The sequence below is a fragment of the Homo sapiens genome, chromosome 14 (genome assembly GCF_000001405.40).
Source record: "Homo sapiens chromosome 14, GRCh38.p14 Primary Assembly".
Taxonomy (NCBI): Eukaryota; Metazoa; Chordata; class Mammalia; order Primates; family Hominidae; genus Homo; species Homo sapiens.
This window is the reverse complement of record NC_000014.9, coordinates 76,909,246-76,932,588: the sequence shown is the minus strand read 5'-3', so window position 1 is coordinate 76,932,588 and position 23,343 is coordinate 76,909,246. Positions and strand designations below refer to the sequence as shown.

Genomic DNA, 23,343 nt, shown 5'->3' with positions numbered 1-23,343 from the left:
GTACCTACTGTGTTCCAGGGGCTGGTCTGAAATGCAGAGAAGGGATACAGTCCTGTTCCTGGAGTAGTTCACAGCTGTGAAGGGCAGAGACAGGGCAGGACCCCAGAATATGGACCCCTGGCACAGGCTGGAAGGTGCAGGAGTAGTGGTTGGTGACCTGGAGATGGTAGGACCCAGCTGAATGTATCCAGAGGGAGAAGTGGCAGACATCCAAGTAGAGAAGGGGTCGGGGAGACCCAGGGAGCAGAGCAGCCATGCAAAGGTGGAGAGGCAGGAGAGAGCCAGAGGGCTTGCTGGAGCTGCGGTGAGTACAAGCGTGTGTATCGAAATGCACAGAACAGCAAGAAGTGAGACAAGGCTGTCTAGGCAGGTATAAAGCACTTGCCTTGCCAAATGCCCTGTGTGCTCTGCTGTGAATACTTGGATGCAGTGGAGCACATTCAGATGACAGAGAGTGACAAGGTAAGATTTGTGTTTTGAAGACAGTGTGGTGTGCTGGAAGACTGAAGCTAGAGGGCAGCTGGTTAGGAAGCCTTTGCAGTATTTCATGCTAGACGTGATGGAGGCCGGACAAGATACTAGTAACAGCCATGCTTCCATGCCAGGCATTGTTCTCTGCCTCTTTACAGAGTAGTTCACTTGATCATCACAATAGTACTGTAAAGTAGGCACCGTACTACTTTTATGTCCACTTTGCAAGTCAGGAAACTCAGGCCCAGAGAAATGAAGCAACATGTTCAAGTTTCCTTATTAAAGCCCCAGAGTTGGCCAGGCTCAGTGGCTCACACCTCATTGCACTCCAGCCTGGGCAACAAGAGCGAAACTCTGTCGCAAAAAAAAAAAAAAAAAGAGAGAGAGAGAGGGGAAAGAAAGAAAGACAGACAGACAGACAGACAAAGAAAGAAAGAAAGAAAGAAAAGCCCCAGAGTCTGTGCTAAATGGGAAGGCCCTGGCTGTCAGCATGGTGAAGAGGAGACAGACAGGCAGATGTCAAGGAGGAGCAGTCAGGCTGACCTGAAAGCTTCTTGGGAGTGGTGGGGATAAGACAGAGGGAAAAATCAAAGATGAGGGTAAGGGAGAATCCTGGGTCAAATAGCTCCCCCGCCAAATTCATGTCCAGTTGGAACCCATGAATGTGACCTTATTTGGAAATAGGGTCTTTGCAGATGTAATCAAGTAGAGATGAGGGCATACTTGACTAAGGTGGGCCCTAAATCCAAAGACTGGTGTCCTTTTTTTTGTTTCTTTGAGATGCAGTCTCACTCCACTGTCCAGGCTGGAGTGTAGTGGCATGATGTTGGCTCACTGTAACCTCCACTTCCCAGTTTTAAGTGATCCTCCCACCTCAGCCTCCTGAGTAGCTGAGACTACAGGTGCGTGCCACCATACCCACCTACATTTTTTGTATTTTTAGTAGAAATGGGGTTTCACTATGTTGCCCAGGTTGGTCTCAGACTTCTGACCTCAGGTGATCTGCCTCCACCTTGGCCTCCCAAAGTGCTGGGATTATAGCCGTGAGCCACCGTGCCCAGCCAAGACTGGTATCCTTATAAGCGGAAGGAAACTTGGACACAAATACATGGGGAAGGCTTTGTGAAGATGGAGGCGGAGGTGGGGTGATGGAACACCCAAGATTGCCAGCAAACAGCAGAAGCTAGGAGAGGCAAGGAAGGATTTTTCCCCAGAGCCTTCAGAGAGAGAGAGGGCTCTGCCAACACCTTGATTTCAGACTTCTGGCTTCCAGAACTGTGAGAGAATAAATGTCTGTTGTTTTAAGACACCCGGTTTGTGGTCATTTGTTATGGCAGCCCAGGAAACCAATACACTCTCCCCATCTTCAAAGAAACCAGGCCTCTGCAAGGAGAATGGTAGCACATCCACCTGAGTCAGGTAACATTCAAAACACGGAGGGGCCAGCCGCAGTGGCTCACGCCTGTAATCCCAGCAGTTTGGGCGGCTGAGGCAGGCGGATCACGTGAGGTCAGGAGTTCAAGACCAGCCTGGCCAACATGGCGAAACCCGTCTCTAATAAAAATACAAAAATTAGCCCGGCATGGTGGCGGGCACCTGTAATCCCAGCTACTAGGGAGGCTGAGGCAGGAGAATCACTTGAACCCAGGAGGTGGAGGTTGCAGTGAGCCGAGATCACACCATTGCACTCCAGCCTGGGTGACAGAGCAAGACTCTGTCTCAAAAACAACAACAACAAAAACAAACAAACAAACAAACAAAAAAAACACGGAGGGAAAGGGCAGGCAGATCCTACAGGTGAGGCTTGAAAGAAAGAGTGGAGCCGACCTGGGAGGCCCTTGAAAATGAGCTTCTGACAGTGTAATCACGAAAGGTCTTGACGCAAAGGAGAGAGGGAGGAGCCTGAGAGACAAAGTGGATCATCGCAGGCTGGCAGATGAGCTCAGACTGGGGAAGGACACATTCAAAGCTGGAGGAAGGGCACAGAACCAAGGGCAGGAATAAAGGAGCAGCAGAGACAGCAAGAATAGAACCCGGCACGCTGCAGCCTGCACGGAGCTGAGGCTTGCAGAAAGGGCCAACCGCAAAACAATTTTTTTGAAGGTGGGGGGAAGGGCAAGTAGGGAGCTTGAAAAGTTTTCTAGAAACAGGAAGACCTGCCTGGGGGAGTAAGGGCTAATTTGGCACTCAAGAATGACAGATATACCCAGATGCTATTTGTCATTGATCTTCTCTATAAAGATAATGGGGGGCACACATTTTTTTTTTCATGAAAAGGGTGGCACAAATATTAGCAGAAGGAAATTCAAACCCAATTGCTTTGTTTTGTTTTGTTTTGTTTTGTTTTTGAGACGGAGTCTTGCTCTGTCTCCCAGGCTGGAGTGCAGTGGCGCAATCTCAGCTCACTGCAACCTCCGCCTCCTGGGTTCAAGCGATTCTCCTGCCTCAGCCTCCTCAGTAGCTGGGATTACAGGCATGCGCCACCATACTCGGCTAATTTTTTGTATTTTTAGTAGAGACGGGGTTTCACCGTGTTAGCCAGGATGGTCTGGATCTCCTGACCTCATGATCCGCCCACCTCGGCCTCCCAAAGTGCTGGGATTACAGGTGTGAGCCACCGAGCCTGGCCCTGATTGGGTTTTAATGAGATACTTGTAAGATGATGAGATCCCTGTCATAGGAGGTATTCAAGCAGAGACTGGATGAGCCTTTAATCAGAGGTGTTGTAGAAGAAAGTCCTCTGAGACTTTAGAGCGGACACAACTCCTTGCTCATTGTCAGGCCATCTGACCCTTAGTTATGCTCCAACATAGGGAAGACAAGTGGGGTGGTTGCCTAGAGCTATGCCTGCTCTGCATTGGTGAGGAGGCAGCAAAAAGACAGTCTTGCCACAGGGCCACGGCTCAGACTAGGTAGTACCAGGGAAATCATAACCCTGTGAATATGATGGTTTTCTTGCTGTGAAGGTTTTGTGATGGTAAAAGTACTAACTTAAGTTTTCAGCTTTGTTTTTGTTACCAAGCACTGAATGCAACACGGCATCAACAAATCACCCAACCCTCCCCATTCCATGCCCACCGTCCCATCTTTGGCCTCCCTCCATCCTTGACCTTCTGCCCATCCCTGCCTATTCGCAGTGGCCTTGTGGCTGAGGAGCACAGAGGAGCAAGGCAAGCCCCTCTCCCTGGTGGCAGGGGGAGTCAGGAACGGTTCCCTCCTTTCTCCTTTCCTTCCCTCCTGTGTCTCCCCTCTTTGTTCTCCATTTTTCCCTCTGCCTCTATAGCTGGCAGGATGAGCTGGCTGGGGATGAGCCAGGGCAAGCCCTTGCCACCCCTGTTGTCTGTCTGTCCATCAAAGAGGGGGATGGTGGGATCATTAGGAGGATCTCGAGAGCCCCTTTGCTCCCACAGTGCAGGATGCACACTCCTCCCAGCCATGCCAGACCTGGCTCTCCTCCACTCAGGTTTCCCCAGGAGGCTGGGTCTACTCCTTGTGTGTTGGCTGCAGGTTGGGGAAGAAAACAGAGAAGTGTGCCCTTGGCTGAGGACAAGAATCTGCATGATGTTTTCTTTGACCTTGAGAATGCCTTTTGCTTGCCCTGCAGAGCAGGAGAGGAGCTGGAACTTTCCCGTTTGGCTCTGTCAGCCAAGTGCAGCTTTCAAGTTCTCTAGGGACTGCTGTATTTTCTCATGAGTGAGTCAAATGCTCAATCTGAGGCCTGGGAGACAGGGTGGAGGAGGGGAGTGGGGAAGGGGACACCAGCATCTACCTTCGGTTGGGAGAATTAGGCTGAAGCCTGCCTGGGCTACTGGTATGTGTCCTTAGGCCACCAACACCATTATCATCTCAATAAACAGCATATGCAGTGTGCTGGGTTGATAGCGTTTCTCTCAGGTTCCGACTTCAGATCTCCGGCTCCTCTTTCACTGGACGGATTCCAAATACTACAACTCCCTGTGTGACAGCTGGAGAATCACTGCACCTTTCTGGGCCCCATTGAGTGACAGAAGATCGGAATGGATAGTCACATGCCTGCCCCAGCGTGGAAGGAGAAGAGCCTATACTTCCATCCATTCTGGCCTCTTCCAAGTTCCCCTCATTTTTCTCTCTAAGATCAAATAAATAAACATGTTGTTATTCTTTTTATACATTTAATATATGCTCATGAAAGAAAAGTAGCAAGGGCCAGGTGTGGTGGCGTACACCTGTAATCCCAGCACTTTAGGGGTTGGAGGCGGGTGGATCCCTTGAGGCCAGGAGTTCCAGACCAGCCTGGCCAACATGGTGAAACTCTGTCTCTAATAAAAATACAAAAATTAGCCAGGTGTGGTGGCACACGCCTGTAGTCCCAGCTACTCGGGAGGCTGAGGTGGGAGGGTCACCTGAACCCAGGAGGTTGAGGCTGCAGTGAGCTGAGATCGCACCACTGCACTCCAGCCTGGGCGACAGAGGGAGACTCCGTCCCAGAAAGAAAAGAAGCAAAAAGGCTATAACAAGAGTCACCACCTAGAAAACAATCACTGTTCACATTTTGGAATGTGTTATTTTTTTCTCTCTACCCATTCATTCCTCTGGCAGACACTGATGACTCCTCCGTGACAAGACAGGCAGGGTTCCTCCCTTTCTGGTGCCTACATGTCAGTGGGAAAAATTGTACATAAATCTATATAGCATCTACAGACAAACAAGACAGGGCTCTCTACGGAAGTCCCTTCTCCTCTCTCTCTGTGTCTATTGCCATTGATTTCCTCCCCAAGAATCCTTCCTTTTCTTCTACACATCTATGCTTTGGCAGAAAAGGGCTTAGTATACCATGAGAGGGTGCCAGGGGCCCAGGCCTGGGTGGGCTGCATGCTGGGACTGTGCCCCTGGGGAGGGGAGAAGCAGCCCCGCCCTTGGCAGAAGCGAGATTCATTTGGGTCCTTGTCTAGAGTGCTCAAGGCTGTTAGTGCCCCTGCCTCATGTCAGCAAAGCCTCACTCTGGTGGGTGGAAGGAGAGCCTCTGCAGAAGTCAGGCCCAGAGAAGGGTCTGGTCACCTGGCCAGGTCACAGGAGCCAGGACCTGGTTTGTTCCCATGAGGCTTGGGACCTCTCATGGCCCTTTCTTTGCACCCCAAGTAGTGTGAAGGAGGAGGAGGGTGTGCTCAGGCAGCTGAGGAAGGAAGGGAGAGGCAGAGGAGGGAGGAGAACCAGACTCGTTTCCAAAGCAACCACACATGTGAGCCAGCTGCTGTCACCATGGAAACAAGGGGAGCCTGCTCAGAGGCTGCACTGTCTCAGGGGAGACACAATTTTTGACCAAAAAAAAAAAAAAAAAAAAAAAATATATATATATATCCTTTGATAAAAATAAAGAAAAAATAATGAAAGCCACACTCTCTGGGATTCGGGGGCACTGCAGAGTGAGGTGACAGAGAGGAAGGGGCTGGGCTTTGCAGAGGATGCTGCGGCTTCTGCTGCTGCAGAGAATTGCCGAGTCAGTGTTTTAGAGCCAAAGGGGGCCTCAGAGACCACCCCCCCTTGATGGATGAGAGTGGGTGCTGGGGAGGGAGGCTGGCGGCCCCTGGAGGTCCCAGGGCAGGAAGAATCAGCACAGGGAAACCCAAGGCCCCTGGGAGAAAGGCAGGGTCACGCTGGGTCTGTGGGGCTTTTCTTTTCTTTTTTCTTTTTTCTTTTTTTTGAGACGGAGTCTCTCACTCTGTCGCCAGGCTGAAGTACAGTGGCGGGATCTCGGCTCACTGCAACCTCTGCCTCCCGGGTTCAAGCGATTCTCCTGCCTCAGCCTCCCGAGTAGCTGGGACTTCAGACACCCGCCACCATGCCTGGCTAATTTTTGTATTTTTATTAGAGACAGGGTTTCACCATGTTGGCCAGGATGGTCTCGATCTCCTGACCTCGTGATACACCCGCCTCGGCCTCCCAAAGCTCTGGGATTACAGGCGTGAACCACTGCGCCTGGCCTGGGGGCTGTGCTTTTCATGAGCTGGTGTGTGGAGCCAGGAGGGAGAGAGAGGCAGGCGGGCAGGTGCAAGCCCCTTTAGCTGGGACAGGCGGTCCCGCAAATGTCTTGGCCTCTTTCTTCCTCTCCCTTTGCCCCACCCTTCTGCTAAGCTCAGCCTGCAATGTTCTGGCTGCCTCCCTGGGGACAAAGCTGGGTGAGCCCCCACCAGTTGGGCAGGCCTCAAACTCAGTTTGGTGGGCATGGGACAACAAGAAGTGCTCCTGGCGCACTGGTCCTTGACTAGATATTTGGCCATAAGGAGATGCTCTTGGTAGGAGTCAAGTCAGGAAAGATCAGGAAATACACAGGACAGGAAGGTGGGGGCCTTAACAAATCTTTTTTTTTTTTTTTTTTGAAGGAGTCTCGCTCTGTTGCAAAGGCTGGAGGGAGTGCAGTGGCGTGATCTTGGCTCACCACAACCTCCTCTTCCCAGGTTCAAGTGATTCTCCCCTCAGCCTCCTGAGTAGATTGGGACTGTAGGCATGCACCACCATGCCCAGCTAATTTTTGTATTTTTAGTAGAGACAGGGTTCTACCATGCTGGCCAGGCTGGTTTCGAACTCCTAACCTTATGATCCACCCGCCTTGTCCTCTCAAAGTGGTGGGATTACAGGCGTGAGCCACCGTGCCCGCCCCCATTTCTTTTTTTTAATCACAAGGCTTTCTGAACTGCGGGGTTCTATGCAGTAGAGCTGGGCCTGGACCAGACGGGAGGCCAAGGGTGGACGCCATCCGAGTGTCCTCCGATTTCACTAGAAGAGTCTCTGCTTTTATCTCTTTTATATGCTTTTTTTTCCCTTTCATAAAGCACTTTCCTGAATGTCATCTCATTTGCTTCTCTCATCACCCGTGAGAGGAGATGTCCCCATCCCTTTTGTGAGGATGAAGACACAGCCTCAGAAAGGTTAAGTTCCATGCCCGAGGTCACAGAGCTCCCAATCAGCCAGAACAAGAATCCCAACCCCAGTTCCGGGTGCCGACCCCATTTCACAGGTGGGGGAGACTAGACACGCCCAAAGGTGTGCTTCCCGGGCAGGCAGGATCGTCCCTGGCCTCTCCGAGAAGAGCCCAGAGTTGCAAGGAGACCCTGCCCCACGACAGTGACACAGACTGGCCCAGGTCAAGGGCACATCTGGGGGCAGTGATCTGGCAGCCTCTTTGTCCTGGAGCTCCACCTACTCTTTCCCTAGGGCTTTGTGCAGCCTCAGCTGAGAGCCCTGGAGATGAGGGTGAAGGGAGGGCGGCAGCCACAGGGAGCTGGGCGGGTGGGACTCTGCCAGGGCAACGGGGGGTGGGCAGCAGAGAGGGCGGGCTCCAGCTTGACTCTGCCCTCACCTCTGGGAGGCTGGTGCCTCTTGTCAGCTGCCCTTCCCTCCCCCCATCCCCCAGCCTCTAAGGCAGCGACCACGTGGGTGAGTTGCCATGGAAACTGTGGAGTTCTATTTGAAAGCAATACACGGTGTAATGTGAGATGGCTTGTTGGGGGGTGATGGGGGATGTGATAGGCAGGTGGGGCATCTACACCTGTTTGGCTAAAGTCCTCCCAGCTCATCTCTTTCCACCAAAAACTGTTTGGGGGCCAGGCCACCTTCTTTCCCACAAGATACTCGCCTCCCACAGTCCCACCGCCAACCACCCACTTTCCCCAACCCCGTTTGTAATCTCAGGCAAGAATCCCTAAGCACTGTCCTGACTACCCCCCACCCCAGAGAAGAAGCCATTATCCCTGTGACATAACACTAGGCGGCAAGAAACCAAGGAGGTCATTTTTGCCATACAAGGGACAGGACGGAGCTGCAGGGATTATCTGGATTACAGGGCACCTGTGTGGGAAGGGGGTGGGCAGCACTGGGGGTCCCACTGCTGCAGAGATGAACACGTGAACCCCCTTCTCCCCCTCCCCACCGAGGTTTAACAGCAAGGCCGGCCAGAGTCCGAGGGCTCGCAGGAAGCAGGAAGGCGGAGTCTAAGGAGAGACGGGCTTGCCATGGCCTCAGAATTTCCCTGAGACCCACACCCAGTCCCTTGCTGGTCCTGGCTCACGCCTGGTTTAGGCCCTGCTCTTGGTCTTGCCTGCTGTCACTTTTGCTGTGTCCTCCACTCCCAGTCCCACCCCCAGTCCAAGCGATAGCAGAAGAGTTCTGAATTTTCTCCTCCATTTGGCTGTGTGACTTGGGGTAAATTGCCTAGCCTTTCTGAACTTCACCAGCTTATTCCGTGAAACAGGGACAGGGAAAAAAAAAAAACCTGCCTCATAGAGTTGCTGGGGGATTAAATGAAACAATGTATTCAAAGTGCTTAGCATAGCGCCTGGTGTCAACAAAAATAGAAGTATGATTACTATTATTATCCATCCTTCAACACTCAGAACAAACCCCATCTCCTGCAAGAAGCCTTCCTTTCTCTGAGGGAGGAACTAGGGCTCAGGCGCAGCTGCTGTGTGCCAAGAACTTCGATGCGTTTTCTTACTGCGTCTTCACAACAGCCCCAGGAGGGCGGTGCTGTTTTCATTATCCCCATTTTACAGAGGTGGACACGGCGGCGCAGCGAGCGTCTTGCTCAAGGTTGTTGGCTAGTAAGAAGCAGGTTCAAGGTTCAAACTCAGCCTGTCTGGTTTTAAAGCTGTGTTTTTTCTACCATGATGTGCACCTCATAGATGGTACAAATCCTCCCCCAGCCATTTTCCTTCCAGTTCAAAGCAGGTCATCATTGCTTCTGATTTCTTTCTTGCCTTCTTTTTGCCTTGATTCCCTGCACCAGGGCAAAGAATAAGGAGGTAAGCCGAATGCTCAGGGAGGGTCAGGAACTCAGACATCTCCTGGCTTACTGGAAGCTTATGCAGCAGGGAGCTGGAAGCCAAGCTCGGGTGTTTGTGAGAAGCAGGTGACCCAGGTGGGGAAAGGGTTCCAGGTGCTGGTTGAGGTGGGTTGGACGAGGTGGGCTGGACTCCAACAAACTCTCCCCAAGCCCACTCTGATTTTCTGCTTAGCTCTGGCCTTGGTCTCTAGACCCCAACTTCCCAGACCAGGCCTGGTGAGGGCTTGATGGATGATCTTGACCTGGTTTTGCTTTTTGGGGGGCTTGAACTGTCTCCTTTAAGGAAGAAGAGAGAGATTGAGGGAGAGAGAGTGAGAAGGTTGGGGGAGAAAGGAGAAATAGGAGGGAAGAAGGAGGAGGGAGGAAATGGAGAAGGGGAGGGAAAGACAGCCGGATGGAGAGGGGAGGACAGGGAGGAGGGGAGGGAAGCCAGCCCTGTGTGGTTGTGAGCTCCGAGGCAGAAGAAAGGATGAGAAAGCAAGAAATCAGCTTCAAGGGAAGGACGAAGGGGGAGGGAGCCGACGTTGGTGGGAGAGTGCGAGAAAGAGGAGGAGGGCGAGAGAAAGAGAGCGAGAGAAGGAGAGCGAGCTGGGGGAAGGGAGATGAGAGGGTGGGGAGAGGCCTGGGGAGAGAGAGGAGAACAAAGGCAGAGATTGAGCGCTGCTTTCTCCCGCCACACGCAGAGGCCTCAGTGGGCTCTGAGGGGCTGAATGAACCTGGAGCCAGTCATGACTCAGCCTTGGGGCTCTCCTGCCCCACAGACAAATCCTTTCTGGCTCAGCAGTTTCTACTCTATCGAGTGGGGGGTACCATCCTCCACTGTCCATCCTCCGCTGTCCTCCATCATCCTCCACTGTCCATCCTCTACCATCCTCCACCCTCCATCCTCCACCATCCTCCACTCTCCATCCTCCACCCTCCACCATCCTCCACTCTCCATCCTCCACCCTCCACCTTCCACCCTCCATCCTCCATCCTCCATCCTTCATCCTCCACCCTCCATCCTCCACCATCCTCCACCCTCCATCCTCCACCGTCCTCCACCCTCCATCCTCCACCATCCTCCACCCTTCATCCTCCACTGTCCTCCACCGTCCATCTTCCATCGCCCTCTGCCATTCATCCTCCACCACCCTCTGACATCCATCCTCCACCGTCCTCTACTGTCCACTCCTTTCCTGGGAGGGAGTCTTCCCTGAGGCCCTGATAAAAGCCCCGTCCCCACCTCCCAGGACTTTGTGGCTGGTACCTGCCCTGAGTTCTTCCAGTTGCACTGTCCTGGATAACCCTTCTGGAACCTTCCAAAGAGGCAGAAACTGGTCGCTGTGCTGGAGGAGTGAGGAGTGGGTGTGCATGCAGCCTGAACAATCTCCTTGTCCCCCAGCTGCTGAAGCCTGTCACCTTTCTAAGGAGTTAGTGCCCAGGAACCAGCTTTTCCTTAATAAAAGAACTCAAATGTATTGAGAGCTTAGCAGGAGCTCAGCAAGTTTTATGTTGTATCTCATTTAATCCTTCACAGCAACCCTAATAGGTCATGGCATTCCAGTTTCCAGAAGCATAAATGAGAGTTAAGGAGGTTTGGTTATTTGCCCAAGCTAACATAGCTAATAGGAGGAGGAACGCTGGTGTCTAGCTCTCATCTCCCAGGGCCAGAGGTCGTGGTCCTCCTGGGGTTTGAACCCAAGGCAAGGGCTGAGGCAGGAGAGTATGGGATTAGCTAATGGCTTATGATGGCTTGGGCAAGTCTTGGAAGTCTCTGTACCTCAATTTCCCCATCCAGCATCTCAGTTGCTGTAGGAATGGTGGGAGGGAGAGGTGACCCGAGGAGTCAGGACACAAGGTCAGTAAGGCAGCGTTTGAGGGTGGTGTCTTTTTGCAGGGAAGAAGGCCCCAGGTACCTGGGAAGAAAGCTCTGAAATGGTGTTCCCCTGCCAGCAGCCTTATCAGCATCTTCTGGGAAGACCAGATGGATGGTAATAAGGCCCCGTTTTCATGGGGCTTCCAAGAACCTTTCTCCAAAGCACTTTCATATATGGGTAAACACACACACATGCACACACACACACACACACACACACACGCCATTCTTATCGTTAAAGCCACTTCCCATGCATGTAAAGTCCACCTGACTTCATTTTATATGGCTGGGCTCCCCAGCTGGAGAAGGCCAAGGTCACATAGTTAGCAACAGGGAGAGCAGATACCACCCGGATGCATAGGTAGTGACAAAGTTTCTGTCCTCAAAGCACCTTGTGAGCTCTCAGGGAATCAGTAGGCACACAGCACCCACTCCACACCGGGCCGCAGCCTACCCTCCCCCACCCCCACGGTACCTGGGGGTCATCCTGAAGACCGTATGCATTGCCATGGACTCCCCGGGCACCACCCTGCAGCCTGCCCATGCCCCTCTCCAGCCTGAGCTGCTTCCCTCCCAGCCCAGAGCCCTGGTGAATTCCCCCGTCACCTTCCATCAGGGTTCATGTTAGAGCTCCAGTTTGGAAAAGGACTTCCCCCTCCTCCTCCCCCAACCCCCTGCCCAGATGGCAGTTCCCCTTCCCCAGGGACCAGTGATGCAGCAGCTCGTGTAGCCTGCAGTTGCCATGGTGATAGCCCTCCTTTGGCTTTCCATGGGGTGGGGGATGACAGGGAGGGTGTGAGTGTGGTGAGTGTGTCCCATTTTCCGCTCCAGGTGAGGAGAGCTTATGGAGTGGAATCCTACCCTCCTCGAGTGGGGTCTGCTCCTCCTCCCAGCTGGGACCCAGCCAGCTCAGTGGCATCGCAGCAGCTGGGAAGACTGGAAGACAGACAGGGACACTGGACTGAAGAAAGATGTCCCAGAAGGAGCACTGGAGGTGGGGGGTGGACATGGCCATTGGCACAGTTGCCAAAGGATGGAGGCCGGAACCTGGGGTGGGAGCCAAGGCATCGGGGAGCTGGGAGGAGGGACAGGCTGGAGCCTCAGAGCCTCGGAAGAGACCCGGAAAGGGTGGGCCCCTTATTTCTGCCATCCACCCAAGGAGTCTCCCACTGCGCTTCCCCAGTCAAGAGAAGGCCCCTCTGCTCTTCCAACATGATCTGTAATTTCCGGCAGACATTTGAGGCCCCTGACATCTGCATAATGTGGGCCAGTCTCTTAGCAACGGGGAACAGCTGTCTGGCATTTCCAAGATTAAACTGTAACTATACGCGGTCCTTGCCAGGGGGAGGGGGTGGGGGAAGGGGATAAACACTGCCTCCTGGCATTTTCAAACTCATTTAGCTTTTATTCATTTCCTGCCTCCAGTAAAGAGGCCAGGGATTCGGGCTGGGCTGTTACTGCCCCTGCCACCGCCGCCTGCCACGCCGCTGCCACCACCTCCGCTGCTGAGGTTGCAGATGGCTCTTCCCCCAGATCTGTTTGCATGCGGGTGGGGGAGAGATAGGAGACAGCACTCGCTCTTTTTTTGTTGTTTTTATTTTATTTTATTTTTTGTAAGTGCTGCGATCCTGGCATACTGTGTAGCTGCAGCCCAGGAAGAAAAGCCAGTGTGGCCCATCAGTTAAAGCCTCCAAGTCAGCTCGAAGCTGGATTAATTCCATCAAGCTCCGTGGCTAAAAGCTAGCTGCGTGACCTTGTGCCAAATTCCTTCACCTGCCCACACCTTCACCTCCCTGTCTGTATAAGGACATAATTCTACCCTGAGGTGGCTCTGAAGACTGTGTATGCACTCAGGCAATGGATTCATGATTAATAATTGTGGTTCTCTGCTCCTTTGGTCACCTTCCAGCCGCCATCCTCTGCTAGTGACCTCGGGCTCTGCTACTGGGGCAGAGAGACACAGGCCATTTCTCTGGGAGCTGCCACCTTGAACTCCGGTTCCCTGGGGCCCCAGGCGATGACATTTTTGCCCTGCAGTACTTAACCAGGGCTCAGCAAGCCCTAGCAGGGCCCTCTCTGTGGCTGGCCAGAGGTGTCCTCATCCCCTGGCCTGCTTGGGCCAGGCAGCTCCTGTTTCCCAATTGCTCTGCCAGCTCCTGCCACTTGGCTACAGCGCCTGAACTCGTGAACACGGTGTTTTGGTTTTGCAGCAAGAAGGAAAAATAAAAGGGCGGGTGTGGGGCCCGGACAGGAGGGTGAGAGGGAGAGAGAGGAGGAGGGAAAAACCCTCCAGCCGCCTGTGCTGGCCAGTTCCAGGAATGTGTTCTCGGACATCAGTGCCAAAGCAGTGACCCAGGCGTGGCGGCCAGGCCGGGTCTGGAGGCCTTCCCAGGAGAAGGGAGAGGCCGGCTCAGGCTCCAGGGCTGAGGCTGCCTCGCCTCCCGCCTCCCCCACGACGCCTCTGCTGACTCATCGCTGCCCCAGCTGGCAGGAGCCTTTTCTGGGGATGGCTGTTGCTAAGATTCCTTGGAGATGACTGATTGCTTCTCCTTGAGCTTTGTGAAAACATGTTTGTAGACTGCACGCAAACACACGCATGCACTCCTGGGGGCTTACACGCCTGGCCTGGACACCTGTGCATGCACGTTTATGTGTCCAAATGTGTGTGCACATGGAAGACCAGAACATGCTTCCTGTTCCCATCACCTCCGAGCGCACGTGTATGGACCAGTACACTCCCTACTCCACCCAAAAAGGGGCTGAGACACGCCAGGCTTTCCTGGCAGTAGGGGAAGCTGCCACTGTACGGGCCGCTCTCATCTGAAGGAGTTTCAGGTTGCCTTGAAACATTCTTGGCCTCTGTCCCTCCTGCCTTCTCTGGGTTTTTGGTTTGCTTCATTCTGCTGTAATGATCTAATCTTCCCTTCTCCCCAGGCCTGCCAGGTTTTTGATGTCTGGTGTTTCAGGCACTCAACTGGGAGCTGCTTGAGATCAGGCTGCCTGGCTTGGAAATGACTTGCCAAAGAGGCTCCAGGGAGTCTCAGTGCCTCTGTATCCCCCCCTCCCGCCAGGGGAGGGAGGGGACCAGCAATAGCATTCATGGAGGGGAAGTGCTGGGCCTTTCTCTGGGCTCTGCTGTTGAATGACGTGGGGGATGTTTGTTCCTCCTCTGTGCCCAGCTGAGCCTTGGCTGGGGTGAGGGTGAGGGTGCTCGGTGCTTAGCCTGCAGCCCTGGATGCCCGGCCTCCGGGGCCTTGTAGCCAGAGCTGTGTGTGACCTTGGTCACATTGGGCTCTTATTGCCTTGGTTTCCCCACCTGCTGGGCTGAAATTGGACTCCTTGCCGAGTCTTCCAGGGTTTTAATATGACAGGGCTTGGCAGGCACTTGGGCACCAGGCAAGGTTGTTTGTCACGGGTTCTTGAAGGGGTGGAGGGACAGGCAGGCCCCGTGCCAGCATGGAGCCAACACTCTTCTCTCACTAGCTCTGCTAGGCTCAGGCTCAAGTGTGGCTTCTTTAAATGGACCAACCCTGGGGGCCAGATCCCAGGAGCGCTCTCTGCTGTGATTCTGCAACTGTTGCTAGGAAAGGCTCTATACCTGGCCTCATGGGATGAGCTGTGGCCAGCCTGAATTCAGTGGGGTTGGCAAAGCTCACAGCTGCCACAAGAAAAATATCCCTCTGTGCTCAGGTCCTCATCCTAAATGAGGACAAGGCTGGCTTCAGAATTCCCGCTGCTTTTAACAGGCAATGATATGGGTGGGAACAGGGGTTGGGGGTTGGGAGGTAGAGTGGAAATTAAGAGAGTAAAGCAAATGACAAAAATAAAAGTAAGTGGCACAAAAAAATAGCTCTTTGTGGGAATGTCAGCAGCCTAATGCAAGCTCCCCAAGGCAGGAACGCTCTACTGGATGCATTATTTTGGATAGCACCACAAGAGTCTGGCAAATCGTAAACAGTCTCAAGGCGGGAGAGAACACAGCACTGTGTCCCACGGACACCAGCCTCACCACTCACGACGCATCAGCCTCTTGCCCAAGGCTCCCAGCCCACCCATGCCCCTTGCTCCAGCCTCAGGACAAAGCAGGACACCAAGCAATTTGCCCGCAGTCCTTGTTTTCACCAGGAGGTGGCAAGAACTTCCATATGAACTGCCTGCTGGTCAGGTTTGGGAATTACAAAGTCAGTCAGTAACCACAAAGCCTGTGAGATGGGAATCTCCAAAGGATGGGCTCTGGGCCCTAGCAGAGGTCTCTGAGCTGAAGTGGGCTTGCTGGGATCCACTGGTGAGGATGCAAGCAGAGAATGATCATAAGGACACATCTTTGTTGAGCTTTTAGTGCGTGCCAGGCACCTTGCTAAGTTGTTGCATGTATCCATCCATTGGATTCTTACAACCACCCTCTGAAGGAGGAAGTACCATGACCTGTATTTTCCACGTGGGAAAACTGAGGTGCAGCGATGTTAAGAAGGAGCTGGTCAGTAGAAATTTGTCTCCAGGCTGGGCGTGGTGGCTCATGCCTGTAATCCTAGCACTTTGGGAGGCCGAGGCGGGGGGATCACGAGGTCAGGAGTTTGAGACCAGCCTGGCCAATACAGTGGAACCCTGTCTCTACTAAAAATACAAAAAATTAGCTGGGCGTGGTGGCAGGTGCCTGTAATCCCAGCTGCTTGGGAGGCTGAGGCAGGAGAATCGCTTGAAGCCGGGAGGCGGAGGTTGCAGTGAGTTGAGATTGCACCACTGCACACCAGCTCGGGCGACAGTGCGAGACTCCATCTCAAAAAAAAAAAAAAGAAAAAGAAAAAGAAATTTGTCTCCAGAGCCTAACCCTTAGACACTTCCCATCATTGCTCCCTGATGATCATCATGCACGCAGTCATGGCACCAGGTGCCACCATCTTCTCCAGCGCTGCCACAGGCGGAGGAGAAACCTAAGTTCCCGTGCCGATATTCCATTTCCACGGCGCTTCTGCCTGTGACCTCTGGGAACTCACATATCAGCCAAGACAAGCCTCGTGGCAAATTTTATTAAGGTGTTCTCTCACTGAGTGACCAGAGCATGTGATTCAACCCCTTGGACCTTATCTTCTCCCTTTCTGTACAATAAGAGGCCTGTGGGGCCCCTCAGTTCCTTTGCTTTTCTGACATGCAACAATCTTAAGAAACAGCTTTCTTCAGTTCCTTTCCTTTTCTGACATGCAACACTCCTAAGAAACGGCTCTCTTCCAGGACTCCCAAGCACATTAAAGATGCAACCGATTTGCCTGGTCACAAGCACATGTGCACACACGTGAGATTCTGCGCCTATGGGTGCAAAATCCTGAACAGAGTCACACAGATGCACTATGGAACTGGGCAGGGCTTCCAACAGACTTGCATTTTTATTGTTTTTGTTTTTTTTTTTCTTTTGAGACGGAGTCTCCCTCTGTTGCCCAGGCTGGAGTGCAGTGGCACGATCTTGGCTCACTGCAAGCTCCACCTCCTGTGTTCACGCCATTCTCCTGCCTCAGCGTCCCAAGTAGCTGGGATTACAGGTGCCCGCCACCGCGTCCTGCTAATTTTTTGTATTTTTAGTAGAGACGGGGTTTCACCGTGGTCTTGATCTGCTGACCTCGTGATCTGCTCGCACTGGCCTCCCAAAGTGCTGGGATTACAGGCGTGAGCCACCGCGCCTGGCCAGGATTTTTTTTTAAAACGGAGTCTCACTCTGTCGCCCAGGCTGGAGTGCAATGGCATGATCTCGGCTCACTGCAACCTCCGCCTCCCGGGTTCAAGCGATTCTCTTGCCTCAGCCTCCCAAGTAGCTGGGACAACAGGTGTGCACCACCACGCCTGGCTAATTTTTGTATTTTTAGTAGAGACGGGGTTTCACCATGCTCGCCAGGCTGGTCTTGAACTCCTGATCTCAAATGATTCGCCTGCCTTGGCCTCCCAAAGTGTGGGGATTACAGGCGTAAGCCACCGCGCCCAGCCCACCAGGATGTTTTGTAGCGTGTCCCTCATATTGCCTGGCACAGTGCAGCCCCTAATAGGTGATCAATTTGTATTTGTGCATTGGTGGCTAGTGGAGAGCAGGTGAGTTAGGCTAACAGAATTGTTTGGTTACATGCATCCACCAACCCCATGACACTTTCAGAAACCACCATCAGGACTAAACTCCACAGTCTGCTCTCTAAGCCAGCTCCTCACTCAGTTGTCCCACCCCTACCTCCCAGCAAGTGCTAAGGCCACACCCTACATCTCCTGCTCTTCCTGTGTCTCTGCCCATCTCCTACCTTGCTTTTCCATCTCCTACATGCAGATTTGAATCCATGCCCTGAACTACTGCCTTTCCTCCCTCTCTCCTTCTTTTGATTTTCTTCTCTGAGAAGAGCCAGAGGGAGGCCTTTAAGTGGCTGTTGGAGAGGGGAGGACTTGGAGCTGGAGGCACCGAGCCCCAGGCCTGGTTGGGGGTGTCAGGTGGAGGAGGGCAGGCTCCACCCTGGCTTCTCTCCTTGCCTCTCCTCTTTCAGACCTTTCCTCCCTGAGGCCCACCTGGGGAACCAGAAATGCCAGAACTGTAACTCCACCTCTGGGATCTGCAGGGTGAGCCTGTGGTGAGTCCCCAGGTGGGTGGGGCCTGGGCGAGTGGCAAGCAAGCCTAGCAAGCCAGAGGAAAGTCCTGCAGTGTCTTTGTGTTTTGTTTGTTTTGAGACGGAGTCTGGAGTCTCACTCTGTTGCCCAGGCTGGAGTGCAATGGTGCAATCTTGGCTCACTGCAACCTCCACCTCCTGGGTTCAAGCGATTCTCCTGCCTCAGCCTCCTGAGTAGTTGGGATTACAGGCGCCCGCCACCGTGCCTGGCTAATTTTTTGTATTTTTAGTAGAAACGGGGTTTCACCATGTTGGTCAGGCTGGTCTCAAACTCCTGACCTCAGGTGATCCATCTGCCTTGGCCTCCCAAAGTGCTGGGATTACAGGTGTGAGCCACCGCGCCCAGCCAGGTCCTGCAGTGTCTACGTTCTCCTGCATCGGGGCTTCAGGATTCAGAGCCTGGAACCAATGAGGACAAAAACAAGCGCTTTTTCCATGCTCCCTTCCCAGCCCGAGGAGATGGGAAGGAAGCCAGTGTTGGGCGTGGGGTCTGCTGGTTTCTGAGTGACAAGCCTTTAGATTAGGCTGGAAATGGCCAGTTGGAAGCTCCCAGTGCTGCCTGACTTTGAACTAGGTTTGCTTGATCTGGAGCTAATGAGACACCAAAGTCTCCCTGGTGGCCGTGTAGTCTACCTGGCCCACTAACACCTTCTATGGGTGGGGGCTAAGGAGTGGCCCCCAGGCAGGACCCCAGGAAGCTGGGCTGAGCTCCTGGACAGGGGTGTGGGGGTGGGTGGTAAGGGTGGGGGTGCCTGCTGTCCCACCCAGTGGCTTGCTGGGATGAGAAGGTGTGATCTGTCCTTCCACATCACCCTCCACTCATTTCAGGCCTTTGATGGAGGCCGCCTCTGTCCTCAGGCTTATAGACCAGGACATGCACCTTCTCGGGGGTGCTTCTGCTGGCCTTGAGGCTAGGGGGATAGGACCACTGCTCTGCTCCACCCCAGCCTCCCGCCTTTACTTCCCCAGTCCCTAGGGTGGGTGCTGGAGAAGGTCCTCCTGCCACCACCCCTCATCCCACTGGCTGCGCAGCGACACCTGGTGGATCACGAGTGCCATCACAAGGAGACCCCAGAAGCCCCACACTGGCTGAGCCCTCGGTTCTAACCTCTGAGCCTCACTCAATCTCAGTCCATCCCCCCAGGGGGCTAAAACCCACCATTTCCCTCTGAGCCCAGAGTCCCAGGTACTGGGGACTGCTGGAAACAAGGAGCTGAGTCTTGGAAGGAGTCAATGTCCTATCAGACAAGGACTTTGGGGAGCCAGTCCAGGTCATAAAGTCAAGGTATTTGGCCACTAGGGTTGGATGAAGCTACCGGAAAGGTCTGGAAGGGACTGGGCCTGGGGGTGAGCCCTGGGTCAGCTCCTGGGGATTTGTGGGCACAAAGCAGATTCTGCTGCCCTCCTCAGGGCCAAATTGGAATCTGTACCAGGCCCTGAGCCTGGACTACACCCCCACTCCCCCACCCCGGGGACACACCGCGTGAACTGATTCCACACACTACTCCTGACAGCACTGCTGTCACCCAGGAGCTTGCCTGTGTGCTTTTTGTTTGGTTTTTGAGATGGAGTCTCACTCTGTCACCCAGGCTGGAGTGCAATGGCGCAATCTCGGCTCACTGCAACCTCTGCCTCCTGGGTTCAGATGAGTCTCCTGCCTCAGCCTCCTGAGTAGCTGGGACTACAGGCATGCACCACCATGCCCGGCTAATTTTCATATATTTGGTAGAGACGGGGTTTCACCATATTGACCAGGGTAGTCTTTTTTTTTTTTTTTTTTTTTTGAGATGGAGTCTTGCTCTGTCACCCAGGCTGGTGTGCAGTGGCTCGATCTCGGCTCACTGCAACCTCTGCCTCTTGGGTTCAAGCGATTCTCGTCCTCAGCCTCCCGAGTAACTGGGATTACAGGCTGCAGTCGCCTGGCTAATTTTTTGTATATTTACTGGAGATGGGGTTTCACCATGTTGGCCAGGCTGGTCTTGAACTCCTGACCTCAAGTGATCTGCCCACCTCGGTCTCCTAAGGTGCTGGGATTACAGGCATGAGTCACTGTGGCCAGCCATTGCCTATGTGTTTTTAGAACTACAGGAATAATGGGAAGAGTTTGAGCTGGCATGTCATCCACCTATTTTTCATGGTGTGACTTAGGCAGGGTCACACAGTTACAATGCAAGGGGCATCTCCCTGGAGGGGACATGGGGACAGATCACTTCCTTGTGGACTGTAGTAACCTGAGTCCATTTCACAGTAGAGCATTGCCAGGTGTCTAAATGCAGGGCGGAACAGTCACATCGTTCCTTCCTGCTGATTCTTTTGGGTGATGGGGGGTGGTCTTTTCATTATCGCTTCTCTCAGTTCCTCAGTATTGAGGACTGCTGGGGTTTGAATCTAGTTTTACAGTATTACAGTGTGGCCTTGGTTCCATAACCTCTCTGTGCCTCAGTTTCCTCACCTGTATAAAGATTGTAATGCTACCTACTTCACAGGGTTGTTATGAGGATTCCATGAGCTAAGGTATGGAAAGTGCTTAGGAGAATGCCAGGCGCATGGTCACTGCTGAGAATCATTGATAAGAATTATTTCCCCACCCCCTCAGAAGGCAGTATATGCGGGGAGTGTGTCTTAGCTTGGGCTACCATAACAAAACATCATAGACTGCATGGCTTAAACAACAGAAACTTATTTTCTCACAGTTCCAAAGGATGGAAGTCCAAGAGCAGGGGGCCAGCAGGATTGGGTCCTGGTGAGGGCTCCCTTCCTGGCTTGTGGATGGCTGCCTCCTCACTGTCTGCCCACACTGTTTCCTCTGTGCATGTCAAGAGCAGAGTATCTTTTCCCCTTCTTATAAGGCTACCGATCCTTTTGGATTAGGGCCTCACCTTTATGACTTCATTTAACCTTAATTACCTCCCAAAGGCCCTATCTCCAAATATAGTCACATTGGGGTTAAAGGCTTCAACATACAAATATTTTGGGAGGACACAATTCAGTTCATAGCAGAGTGGAACACTGATTGAAGAACTCAGGTACTGCATGTATAGCAACCAGTGACACTAAGACCCAAGTCTTCCTTGGCCCTGTGGCTGGGGCTGGTTTCTCCTGTCAGCAGCTTGAGGTAGTAGAAGGATCAACAGGGCAGATGGGCTATTCTAAGCCCCAGGTCCCTGTAATCCCAGTGCCAGGGGATGCAGATCTCCCATCATGGAGGCAAGTATTGAATGCAGAGTCCATGCTATTTCCTGGGGTAATATGTGGCTGGGCACAAAGACATTCTTTTTCAAGGCTGTCAAATTTGAGCTTGAAAAATGTGCATGCTGGCATGGGCCACGGGTTGGGTTAGGTGAGGTCCTTTCTTTCTTTCTTTTTTTTTTTTGAGACGGAGTCTCACTCTGTCACCCAGGCTAGAGCGTAGTGGCATGATCTTGGCTCAATGCAACCTCTGCCACCCGGGGTTCAAGGGATTCTCCTGCCTCAGCCTCCTGAGTAGCTGGGATTATAGGTGCCTGCCACTGTGCCTGGCTAATTTTTGTAGTTTTTTTTTTTTTTTGAGATGGAGTCTCACTCTGTCACCCAGGCTGGAGTGCAGTGGCACGATCTCGCTTCACTGCAAGCTCCGCCTCCTGGGTTCACACCACTCTCCTGCCTCAGCCTCCCGAGTAGCTGGGACTACAGGCGCCCGCCACCACGCTGGGCTAATTTTTTGTATTTTTTAGTAGAGACAGGGTTTCACCATGTTAGCCAGGATGGTCTCGATCTCCTGATCTCGTGATCCACCTGCCTCGGCCTCCCAAAGTGCTGGGTTTACAGGCGTGAGCCATCACGCCTGGCCAATTTTTGTAGTTTTTAGTGGAGATGGTGTTTCACCATCTTGGCTAGGCTGGTCTTGAACTCCTGATCTCGTGATCCATCTGCCTCAGACTCCCAGTGTGCTGGGATTACAGGAGTGAGCCACCACACCCGGCCAGGTGAGGTCCCCTCTATAAGGCTGACTACGAGATTGTCAAAGCACATGGCAGAAGAGATATGCTGGGGCTATGGGTTTCTTTGGCTAGACTATAGGTATAAACTGGCAGATTCTACCTCTCCATGTGCTCAATACCTCTCTCACAGCCCAACTTGGAGAGATGCTGCTGAAAGATTACATTACTTAGGACGGTTTCAGTTTCAAGTTACAGAAACCCAAATCCAACTAGCTTAAGCAAAAAGAGAGTTTATTAACCCTCAACTGGGCACCACCTTCAGGCACAGTTTGATCTAGGGGTTCAAACAATGTCATAGGCGTTTTATCTCCTTAGTCTCTCAGCTTTGTCTCCTTCTATGTACTGGCTTCACTCTGCACATGTGCTTTCTCTTGTGTCAGAAAGATGACAGCTAGTAGCCTTAAATTCACATCTTTCCTTCTAATAAATTCCCAGAAACATAATTTCTGTCTTTCATATATTAGGGAAGACTCTTTTTTTTTTTGAGATGGAGTCTTGCTCTGTCGCCCAGGCTGGAGTGCAGTGGTGTGATCTCGGCTCACTGCAAGCTCTGCCTCCCGGGTTCAAGCCATTCTCCTGCCTCAGCCTCCCGAGTAGCTGGGACTACAGGGGCCCACCACCACACCCGGCTAATTTTTTGTATTTTTAGGAGAGACGGGGTTTCACCGTGTTAGCCAGGATGGTCTTGATCTCCTGACCTCGTGATCCGCCTGCGTCGGCTTCCCAAAGTGCTGGGATTACAGGCATGAGCCACCGTGCCTGGCCAGGGAAGACTCTTAACTGGACCTTTAGAGGCCATGTCCACTAAAGGATCAATCAACATAGGGAGGAACCTCTGGCTGGGCAGCCAAGGTCACCTGCCTACCCTTACATTCTTGGAAGCAGGTAGGGCCCCCTGCAGAGGGAGAGAAGTTCCCCATGGAAACTAAAGGGAGTTGGATGGGGAAGCAAGTTGGCTATGCAAAGCCATCACTGCCATATTCTTCTTAGAGGGACTTCAAGTCCCAGGAGGACTTCTTTTTCTTTTTTTTGAGACGGGGTCTTGTTCTTGCCCAGGCTGGAGTGCAGTGGCACCATCACAGCTCACTGCAGCCTCAACCTCCTGGGCTCAAACGATCCTCCTGCCTCAGCCTCCCAAAGTGCTGGGATTACAGGTGTGAGCCATTGTGACTGGCTGCCCAAGAGAACATCTGTCTTCACATTGGAATGGCAGCACAGGAATGTTAAAACTTGTCAGGTCCACCCCAGCTCACTTGACAAACAAGAGGACTGAGGCCAAGGTAAGCACCTTGCTCAAAGTCATCCTTCTTTCTTCTGCAGAGGCATGACATCATTGTTGGCTCTGTGTCTAATTATTCCAGTCAAGATCCAAGTGCCTGGCCCAAGGGTTGTCTGAGAATCCCTCTTCCCCTAGAGTGGCTCAGCACACAGCCAGGAAGTGACGAGGGTATTTCAAGAGGCTCCTTATCGATTAGCCCAAGGTGTCTGGCCCAGTCCTCACCCTCCTCAGGGCCATGGGCTGGGAGCCCTCTCATCTCTCCTTTGCTAGTGGAGGCTGGGGAGACTGCGAATGGCTATCAGGAC

The 23,343-nt window shown here is 52.9% G+C and overlaps 1 long non-coding RNA gene across 1 annotated transcript, besides 8 other annotated features; it reads left to right on the top strand.

Annotated features, from left to right (window-relative positions):
* Positions 1 to 3,081: 3,081 nt before the first annotated feature.
* Positions 3,082 to 4,617, top strand: LOC124903349 (uncharacterized). The gene is made up of 2 exons (XR_007064274.1): positions 3,082 to 4,164; positions 4,366 to 4,617. It is a non-coding gene; the product is annotated as an uncharacterized LOC124903349 (long non-coding RNA).
* Positions 4,879 to 5,835: an enhancer, noted in NCBI's record as "H3K4me1 hESC enhancer chr14:77393097-77394053 (GRCh37/hg19 assembly coordinates)". NCBI's record gives its function as "activates a minimal SCP1, AML or CMV promoter by ChIP-STARR-seq in primed H9 embryonic stem cells {active_cell/tissue: H9 hESC(primed)}" and the evidence as "EXISTENCE:reporter gene assay evidence [ECO:0000049][PMID:30033119]".
* Positions 6,944 to 7,938: an enhancer, noted in NCBI's record as "H3K27ac-H3K4me1 hESC enhancer chr14:77390994-77391988 (GRCh37/hg19 assembly coordinates)". NCBI's record gives its function as "activates a minimal SCP1, AML or CMV promoter by ChIP-STARR-seq in naive H9 embryonic stem cells {active_cell/tissue: H9 hESC(naive)}" and the evidence as "EXISTENCE:reporter gene assay evidence [ECO:0000049][PMID:30033119]".
* Positions 7,349 to 7,643: a silencer, noted in NCBI's record as "tiled region #783; K562 Repressive non-DNase unmatched - State 23:Low". NCBI's record gives its function as "represses a minimal TATA promoter and a strong SV40 promoter by Sharpr-MPRA in K562 cells {active_cell/tissue: K562}" and the evidence as "EXISTENCE:reporter gene assay evidence [ECO:0000049][PMID:27701403]".
* Positions 7,939 to 8,934: an enhancer, noted in NCBI's record as "H3K27ac-H3K4me1 hESC enhancer chr14:77389998-77390993 (GRCh37/hg19 assembly coordinates)". NCBI's record gives its function as "activates a minimal SCP1, AML or CMV promoter by ChIP-STARR-seq in naive H9 embryonic stem cells {active_cell/tissue: H9 hESC(naive)}" and the evidence as "EXISTENCE:reporter gene assay evidence [ECO:0000049][PMID:30033119]".
* Positions 11,235 to 14,291: an enhancer, noted in NCBI's record as "VISTA enhancer hs1466". NCBI's record gives its function as "enhancer in: neural tube[8/8] | hindbrain (rhombencephalon)[8/8] | midbrain (mesencephalon)[8/8] | dorsal root ganglion[7/8] | forebrain[6/8] | limb[8/8] | branchial arch[8/8] | heart[6/8]" and the evidence as "EXISTENCE:transgenic organism evidence [ECO:0001131][PMID:17130149]".
* Positions 13,466 to 13,616: a silencer, noted in NCBI's record as "fragment chr14:77385316-77385466 (GRCh37/hg19 assembly coordinates)". NCBI's record gives its function as "represses an EF-1alpha promoter that drives an FKBP-Casp9 reporter gene in an ReSE screen in HepG2 liver carcinoma cells {active_cell/tissue: HepG2}" and the evidence as "EXISTENCE:reporter gene assay evidence [ECO:0000049][PMID:32094911]".
* Positions 13,995 to 14,054: an enhancer, noted in NCBI's record as "active region_8775". NCBI's record gives its function as "activates an Ori minimal core promoter by ATAC-STARR-seq in GM12878 lymphoblastoid cells {active_cell/tissue: GM12878}" and the evidence as "EXISTENCE:reporter gene assay evidence [ECO:0000049][PMID:35858748]".
* Positions 15,109 to 15,403: a silencer, noted in NCBI's record as "tiled region #8364; K562 Repressive DNase unmatched - State 12:CtcfO". NCBI's record gives its function as "represses a minimal TATA promoter and a strong SV40 promoter by Sharpr-MPRA in K562 cells {active_cell/tissue: K562}" and the evidence as "EXISTENCE:reporter gene assay evidence [ECO:0000049][PMID:27701403]".